General features: G+C 53.5%; 2 protein-coding genes and 1 long non-coding RNA gene across 5 annotated transcripts in view, besides 7 other annotated features; 1 reads left to right on the top strand and 2 right to left on the bottom strand.

Moving 5' to 3' along the window:
* Positions 114 to 734: an enhancer, noted in NCBI's record as "H3K27ac-H3K4me1 hESC enhancer chr12:56555035-56555655 (GRCh37/hg19 assembly coordinates)". NCBI's record gives its function as "activates a minimal SCP1, AML or CMV promoter by ChIP-STARR-seq in naive H9 embryonic stem cells {active_cell/tissue: H9 hESC(naive)}" and the evidence as "EXISTENCE:reporter gene assay evidence [ECO:0000049][PMID:30033119]".
* On the bottom strand, positions 406 to 3,626 carry MYL6 (myosin light chain 6). Of its 2 annotated transcripts, NM_021019.5 has the most exons (7): positions 3,581 to 3,626; positions 3,274 to 3,301; positions 2,255 to 2,398; positions 1,837 to 2,010; positions 1,665 to 1,742; positions 1,315 to 1,359; positions 406 to 598 (listed from the first exon to the last, which is right to left on the bottom strand). In NM_021019.5, the coding sequence occupies exons 1-6, from the start codon at positions 3,581 to 3,583 to the stop codon at positions 1,331 to 1,333; spliced, it is 456 nt and encodes a 151-aa protein (NP_066299.2). In that variant the 5' UTR covers positions 3,584 to 3,626; the 3' UTR covers positions 406 to 598; positions 1,315 to 1,330. The 2 variants fall into 2 exon arrangements, with proteins under 2 accessions (NP_066299.2, NP_524147.2); NM_079423.4 differs by lacking the exon at positions 1,315 to 1,359.
* Positions 735 to 1,357: an enhancer, noted in NCBI's record as "H3K27ac-H3K4me1 hESC enhancer chr12:56554412-56555034 (GRCh37/hg19 assembly coordinates)". NCBI's record gives its function as "activates a minimal SCP1, AML or CMV promoter by ChIP-STARR-seq in naive H9 embryonic stem cells {active_cell/tissue: H9 hESC(naive)}" and the evidence as "EXISTENCE:reporter gene assay evidence [ECO:0000049][PMID:30033119]".
* Positions 2,328 to 2,397: an enhancer, noted in NCBI's record as "active region_6479". NCBI's record gives its function as "activates an Ori minimal core promoter by ATAC-STARR-seq in GM12878 lymphoblastoid cells {active_cell/tissue: GM12878}" and the evidence as "EXISTENCE:reporter gene assay evidence [ECO:0000049][PMID:35858748]".
* Positions 2,438 to 2,507: an enhancer, noted in NCBI's record as "active region_6478". NCBI's record gives its function as "activates an Ori minimal core promoter by ATAC-STARR-seq in GM12878 lymphoblastoid cells {active_cell/tissue: GM12878}" and the evidence as "EXISTENCE:reporter gene assay evidence [ECO:0000049][PMID:35858748]".
* Positions 3,178 to 3,357: a silencer, noted in NCBI's record as "silent region_4547". NCBI's record gives its function as "represses an Ori minimal core promoter by ATAC-STARR-seq in GM12878 lymphoblastoid cells {active_cell/tissue: GM12878}" and the evidence as "EXISTENCE:reporter gene assay evidence [ECO:0000049][PMID:35858748]".
* Positions 3,728 to 3,897: a silencer, noted in NCBI's record as "silent region_4546". NCBI's record gives its function as "represses an Ori minimal core promoter by ATAC-STARR-seq in GM12878 lymphoblastoid cells {active_cell/tissue: GM12878}" and the evidence as "EXISTENCE:reporter gene assay evidence [ECO:0000049][PMID:35858748]".
* Positions 3,760 to 6,712, top strand: part of MYL6B-AS1 (MYL6B antisense RNA 1) — a 7,430-nt gene continuing 4,477 nt past the window's right edge. Inside the window, exons 1-2 of the long non-coding RNA NR_186043.1 lie at positions 3,760 to 3,802; positions 4,040 to 4,351. This is a non-coding gene — a long non-coding RNA (MYL6B antisense RNA 1). The remainder of the gene's footprint in view (positions 3,803 to 4,039; positions 4,352 to 6,712) is intronic.
* MYL6B (myosin light chain 6B) overlaps positions 4,003 to 6,712 on the bottom strand; it is a 5,396-nt gene continuing 2,686 nt past the window's right edge. For both annotated transcript variants that reach the window (NM_001199629.2, NM_002475.5), the window contains exons 5-8: positions 6,393 to 6,566; positions 4,440 to 4,517; positions 4,250 to 4,287; positions 4,003 to 4,103 (exon numbers count right to left, since the gene is read on the bottom strand). In NM_001199629.2, the coding sequence (NP_001186558.1) occupies positions 4,259 to 4,287; positions 4,440 to 4,517; positions 6,393 to 6,566 (281 nt within the window). In that variant the 3' untranslated portion in view covers positions 4,003 to 4,103; positions 4,250 to 4,258. The remainder of the gene's footprint in view (positions 4,104 to 4,249; positions 4,288 to 4,439; positions 4,518 to 6,392; positions 6,567 to 6,712) is intronic.
* Positions 4,518 to 4,627: an enhancer, noted in NCBI's record as "active region_6477". NCBI's record gives its function as "activates an Ori minimal core promoter by ATAC-STARR-seq in GM12878 lymphoblastoid cells {active_cell/tissue: GM12878}" and the evidence as "EXISTENCE:reporter gene assay evidence [ECO:0000049][PMID:35858748]".

Below are 6,712 nucleotides of genomic sequence, written 5' to 3'. Positions count from 1 at the left end.
ACGGACAGGCTTAGGCAGTGCTAATAATGGCCTGGCTTTAGCTCCAATAAACACTCCACAGGCTTCCCCACAAAAGGCCTTATTGGGAGCTTGGGAGGGCGGGGGCCAGATTTAAGGAGCTGGAAGGGTAGGAGAAGACAGCCTGATATGGAATGGAACAGGGATGGCCAGCCTTAGTCCTACTGGGATCTATGGCTTTCCTAATCTCCCAAGAGGTAGCTTGTGTAAGATGGATGAATGGGGCCAGTAGTTTTTAAATGAAGCCCAGATGGCTAGTACAGGGCCTCCCCCAGCTTTCCTCAACCCCTGCACCATTGATTGACCTTGGACTCTGCCTCAGGGCAGAAATCATCACCATCTCACCTTCTTCCCCTTTACCCTGTTCAGGAAAGAAAGAACCGAACCGAGGGCCCAGAGAGCAAGTTTATTTGGTGAATGCTGACGGCAAACATCATCCAAGAGAGACAAGATGGGAAAGTTGCTGAGACAAGAAAGCCTAGGGAAACTTTAGGCTAGATACAAAATTCACACAGGGAAAGGCACGGACTCTGGGGAGACTGGGAAGGTCCTCAGCCATTCAGCACCATGCGGACGAGCTCTGTGGAAAGGAAAGGTGGGATGAGCCAGGGAACAGGGCTGTGGAGGGGTACGCCAAGGGCCAGGGGACTACCAGACTGCAAAGGTAGCATAAGCGGGAACATGCCCACAGCAACCAACCCTGGGGTCAGTTTGCAGAGGAGCCACCTTGAGTCTGACCAGTTCTCCATGCCCCTAGCTCCCCTCCCAGCAGCTGTTAGTCCCCCACCCAAACCTAAGCAGCAAGAACACAGCAGAGGCAGAAAAGTTCTCCACTACACCTACAGCTACTGTCAGCCACTGGCGGGAGGAGAGGACAGAGTTTTGGGTTAGGGTACCTCCAAGCTGCCCAGCGAGGGAAGGGGAAAGGACTGTTCAGCTATAGCAGCAGAATGGGGCAGGCAACCCATACCCCTCTATGCCAGCTACCCATGCTCCAGGGCCAGAAGGTCACCCTAAAGCAAGACTGGTATACAGGCTGGTGAGAGTTCCCAGACACCAGCACCCAGGGCCGCATAAGTAAAACCTCAGGGCCCATTCTAGAGGTAAGGAGGTACTGTACCCCCAGGTTGTCTTCCTCTTTGAGGAATCCCTCCCCTCCCTAGTCAGCTCCATGCAGAAACATGCCAGGAGGAAGTCAGATGGTAGTAGGGTAAGGGCAGGGGATAAAGAGCACAGGTTGGGGAAAAAAGAAACACTGGGGAGATCAACTAGAGGAGAGGCTGGGAGGAGCCGTACCCGCCCCATGGGCCCGTCACCCCGACAGGATATGCCTCACAAACGCTGCAGGAAGGAAGAGACATTCATGGTGAAGACAAGACAAAGACATGGGGTGAGGGGTCAGGCAGTGGGGACAGACATTCCATTATTTCACTTCTCATTCCTTCCCACCCTCTACAATACTACCCCCTTCCTTTCCTGTTATACCGCCCTGACCTCCCACTCCTGGGCTGGGCTGGGCAGGGCCCTGCACCTTGCCTCCTGGCTCTTTTTGGAGCCCAAGTCCAGGGATAGGGAAAGCCCCAGACACTATACTTGACCTGCCCCATATGGCTGCTTTCTCTGAGAAAGCGCAGTTCACCTCTTACCTTCATAGTTGATACAACCATTGCTGTCCTCATGCCCTGCCACCAGCATCTCTACTTCTTCCTCTGTCATCTTCTCACCTGCAGGGGGAAAGAAAGCATTTTTGGAATTGGGTGACAAGTGAGGTACCTCAGGGTGCCATCTCAGCTCAAGGACAAGGACACAGAACCTTACCCAGTGTGACAAGAACATGCCGGATTTCAGCACCCATGACGGTGCCATTTCCTTCCTTGTCAAACACCCGAAGTCCTTCGACATAATCCTCATAGGTGCCCTGGTCCTTGTTCTTGGCCACTGTCTGCAGCATGGGCAGAAAGTGCTCAAAGTCCAGCACCTTCACATTCATCTCTGCCATAAAGGAGGTGGAAGTGTCAGGCCAGAGAAGTAACACAAGTTCTCAGGACAGGGGATTATAGAGACCTCAACTGAACAGAGAGATGACAGATGACTCCCCACTAAAAGCAAGGAAATCCATGGGATTTGCTAATCCAGACTTGCTTGAGTTTGGGGCCTATGAAGATAAAGGGAAGCTCTTAGCTGAAGAACTGTGGGCCCATGACCACACTGAGGAGTTGTTCTTTAGGCCCCTCACCATCACTCTTGGGGTTCCCCAGGACCTTGAGCACCTCGGCGTTGGTAGGGTTCTGGCCCAGGGCCCTCATCACATCCCCACACTGGCTGTACAGGATCTTGCCATCACCTGTTCGGTCAAACAGCTGGAAGGCCTCCTTGAACTCTGAGGATTCAGATGAATGTCAACACAGGATTTGAGGGTTAATCCAAACCCTACCTCAGAGCTCTGCTGCCCATTCAACTTTGATCATGCTGAGGAAACGAGATATCTGCACCAAACTGTACACCAAAGTCTACTTAAGAGGGCTCTATTTCTCTTCCTCCCAACTCAAGTGTTCTATATAGAGGCTTCCTCCCCTTCTGGCAGCCTGGTAACATCCATTTACACAACCCCTCTGCCTGCGGCAGGCCTGCCAATCTCCACTGCTGCTACTACACTTCTCAGGGCAGGAATTCGCCACCGCCCAGTCTCAGTCCTGTCCTTATAAGGAAGTGGGAGCAGCAGCCTGGGACTAGGGTCATCCCAACCTGCCACTTCGCACCCCTCCAGTATAAAGAGAACTTCCAGAGGGTATAGCTACAGTCATATCCTTAGCAAACTCCCCTGTCTTGTCCCCATCTGCACAGAATATCAGGTCACTGCTCTACAATCTTCACAACTGCAAGCTGGGAGGGCGGGGACAGTTATCACAAGAGGAGAAAAGAGGCAGAAGTAGCTGATTAAAGGACAAAGGAAAGCAGGCAGCTTTATACACCCTCCCGAGACCCCACACACAGCAGGCATTAAGTGACCAAGTTTTTTCACATACCCACACCACCTAAAACTCACCCAGTGCTTGGGATCAGATCTAGAGTGGAAGGGGAGGGAGGAAGAAAGTGAGAAAAGAAAATGGAGGATCCAGAAGAAGAGAAAATAATCCAGGGGGTAATCTCATGGGGGTGCTAAAGAGATGACAGATTAAGATTAGAGGATAGGTGCTGGGGGGAGGGTGTCCCTCTCCCTAAGGGTGACCTCGGTAGGGATCAGAGATAACCTACCTGCGGTCTGGTCTTCGGTGAAGTCACACTGCTCAGAGAAGAGGGAAGTGGTCAGCATCTGAACGCCAATCCCCCGAGTTTCTATCCCAGCCCCACAAACTCTGACCCACAAACTCTGACCCACAAACTCCTGTTTCAGGCTGCAGACTCGCTTCCCCGCAGGGCCCCAGTCTTTCCAACCCCACCTCCAACCTTTCGGGTCCTCAGATTCCCTTTGCCTCCTACCCCTGCCTTCTCCTCGCCCCCCACCCGTCTCTTCCTGCCTCTCGTCCCCAATCCTGCCCGTCTCCCAAGACCTGGGCCCCACCATCTTGACTGCTCAGCTCTCCGGGACCTTTTCCTGCAGTAATGGCTCCGACTCTCGGCCCAACCCTAGTCTTAGTACGTCCCGATGACGTCACCCTCAGAGGACTCAGCCAATAGGAACCGTGGCCTGGGTTTATGCAGACGATTGCTACATTAGTAATGACTTGGGCGGGGTCCGCTGTTCCTTTCTCCAGCGCCACCTGGGCACAGAACCCGCTCGGAGGTGGGGGGGGTCGTGGGGGGAGGTGGGGGGGCGGGGGTCGTGGGGGGACGTGGGCTGGGGCACAATGAATCTGCACCTCCCAACAGCAGGAAGATCAGAGGATTGGAAGAGGAGAGAGCCCTCTTTTCCCGCCCTCTCCTCCTAGCACCCTCCCCGTCTCCCGCTGCTCCCCCAACCATGAAAAAAATAGCAGTCTGAAACCAAGAGAGGAACCCAGTCTTTATTTTGAAACAATAGGTGGCCTCCTGGTGGCTGGAACGTGCTTTCGCCTGCGGGGCCCAGTGTCCGGACCCCACTGGATCTGTGGAAAAAAACCAAAGTTGCGAAGCGCTGGAGCCCGTGCAGCAACCGGACAGCAGAATGAACTCCGCTGCTTTTCTATGTTGGCTGAGAGAAGGGCGGGAGACTTGCCTCGTAAGGCGCGGCGAAGGGGTGGGAGGGCCCTACCTGCAGCACTCAGACGCTTAGGATGTGTTTCAAGAAGGCTGCAGAGAGAGGAGGCAAGAGGGGCTTCAGAAGCAGGCCTTTGGATAATACATCTGACTCTAGGTAATCCAGGGGTGCCCCCGCCCACACGCGGCAAGACGCCAGGCTGCCCTCCTCCCTCGGCCCCGCTCCCGCTTTTTTGTCCCCTCACCCTCGTAGTTGATGCAGCCGTTGCTGTCCTCGTGTCCTGCCAGAACGGTCTCCACCTCCTCCTCAGTCATCTTCTCTCCTGAATCCCAGACACAACGTCTGAGGCCCTCCTTTCCCTCCTTCACTCACCCAGGCCACGCTTTTCCTTTTTTTTTTTGAGACGGAGTTTCGCTCCTGTCGCTCAGGCTGGAGTGCAGTGGAGCGGAGCGATCTCGGCTCACTGCAACCTCCGCCTCCCGTGTTCACGCGATTCTCCTGCCTCACCCTCCCGAGTAGCTGGGATTACAGGCGCCCGGCTAATTTTTTGTATTTTTGGTAGAGACGAGGTTTCGCCATGTTGGGCAGGCTGCTCTCAAACTCTTGACCTCAGGTCATACACCTGCCTCGGCCTCCCAAAGTGCTAGGATTACAGGCGTGAGCCACCGCGCCTGGCTTTTTCCATATATTTTTGTAAACAACAATATAAACATAACAATTGTAATTTTTTTTTTTTTTTTTTGAGATAGGGTCTCCCTCTGTCACCCAGGCTGGAGTGCAGTGACATCATCATGGCTCACTGCAACTTCCACCTCCTGGGCTCCAGTGATTCACATCGGCCTTCGAAGTAGCTGGGACTACAAGCGTGCACCACCACGCCTGGCTAATTTTTAAATTTTTTTGTAGAGACATGGTTTTGCCATGTTGCTCAGGCTGGTCTCGAACTCCTGAGCTCAAATGATCTGCCCATCTCGGCCTCCCAAAATGCTGAGATTACAGGTGTGAGCCACCACGCCCAGCCTTGTACTTTTTTTTTTTTTAAATAGAGATAGAATCTCACTACGTTGCCCAGGCTGGTCTCGAACTCCTGGGCTCAAGCGATCCTCCTGCCTTGGCCTCCCAAAGTGCTAGGATTACAGGAGTGAGCCACTGCTCCCGGCCAGCCCATGCTGTTTTGCTTTTTTTTAAACTGAGTCTTGCTCTATCACCCAGGCTGGAGTACAGTGGCACGGTCTCGGCTCACCGCAACCTCCACCTCCCGGGTTAAAGCGATTCTCCTGCCTTAGCCTACCAAGTAGCTGGGATTACAGGCACCCGCCATCATGCCTGGCTAATTTTTGTGTTTTTAGTAGAGACGAGGTTTCACCATGTTGGCCAGGCTGGTCTTGAACTCCTGATCTCAAGTGATCCGCCTGCCTCGGCTTCCCAAAGTGCTGGGATTACAGGCTTGAGCCACCGTGTCTGGCCTTTTTTTTTTTTTTTGAGACAGAACCTTGCTCTGTCCCCCAGGCTGGAGTACAGTGGCATGATCTCTCGGCTCACTGCAACCTCAGACTCCCGGGTTCCAGCGATTCTCCTGCCTCAGCCTCCTGGGTAGCTGGGATTATAGGTGCGTGCCACCATGCCCGCCTAGTTTTTATATTACTAATAGAGATGGGGTTTTACCATGTTGGCCAGGCCGGTCTCGAACTCCCGAGCTAAGGTGATCCGCCCGCCTTGGTCTCCCAAAATGCTGGGATTACAGGCGTGAGCCACCATACCTGGCCAGGCCACGCTCTTTAGAGTGGTACCTCTTCTTCTCCCATAGCCTCAGTCCTCAAGGGAATCCTCCCCTGGTCATGGATGCCTCTTGCTTTCCATTTCACCCTAGTACTGCTGAAAGTATTGACCCACAAGGAAACAATCCCAGGAGGTTACGAGACTTGTACCAGAACACACAACCCACACGTCTCTTCCAAAATGAAAATTCAGGTTTCCCGCCTCATCCCTTTTCCTCTGCCCTCCGGATGGCACTTTAGCCTCTGGAAGAGCGAGTCCTTCAGATTCTACCCCCATAGCTCTGACCTTCTCAGTCTCCTGCCGACAACCTGCAGGACAGTAAGCCTCCTGCTAGCTCTGCTTATCTGTCCAGTCTTTCTGGCCCACCCCATCCCCCTCTCCACTCTAAAGGAGTTCTGGTCCCCCTTGCCTGCCTCACCAAGGGTGGTGAGAACATGTCTGAGCTCTGCTCCCATGACTTTGCCGTTCCCCTCCTTGTCAAACACACGAAACCCCTCCAAGTAGTCCTCATATGTGCCTTGGCCTCGGTTCTTGGCCACTGCCTGGAGCATGGGCAGGAAAGTCTCAAAGTCCACACGCCGCGACTTCAGCTCTGGAGGTTGGAGAGAGGTAAAGGAGAGGTCATTGTAGTATTACATAGGACCCAGCTCCCAACCCTACCACAATGCTTTCATCCTATTCAGCATTTAGGATATTTTCCTGCTTCTGTGTTTGACAGTTTTTGAAGTCCTGAGATCC

The sequence above is a fragment of the Homo sapiens genome, chromosome 12 (assembly GCF_000001405.40).
Source record: "Homo sapiens chromosome 12, GRCh38.p14 Primary Assembly".
Taxonomy (NCBI): Eukaryota; Metazoa; Chordata; class Mammalia; order Primates; family Hominidae; genus Homo; species Homo sapiens.
Note: the sequence above shows the minus strand (reverse complement) of the source record. Positions and strands in the feature narration are given on the sequence as shown.

Bases quoted from the DNA above. Each gene is read 5' to 3' on its own strand.
- MYL6 (NM_021019.5), bottom strand. The intron at 2,011-2,254 runs GTGAGGGGCCTA...CCTTTATGGCAG, and splicing joins GGGGAACCCCAAGAGTGATG to AGATGAATGTGAAGGTGCTG. The intron at 1,743-1,836 runs GTAAGGTTCTGT...TTCCCCCTGCAG, and splicing joins GCATGTTCTTGTCACACTGG to GTGAGAAGATGACAGAGGAA.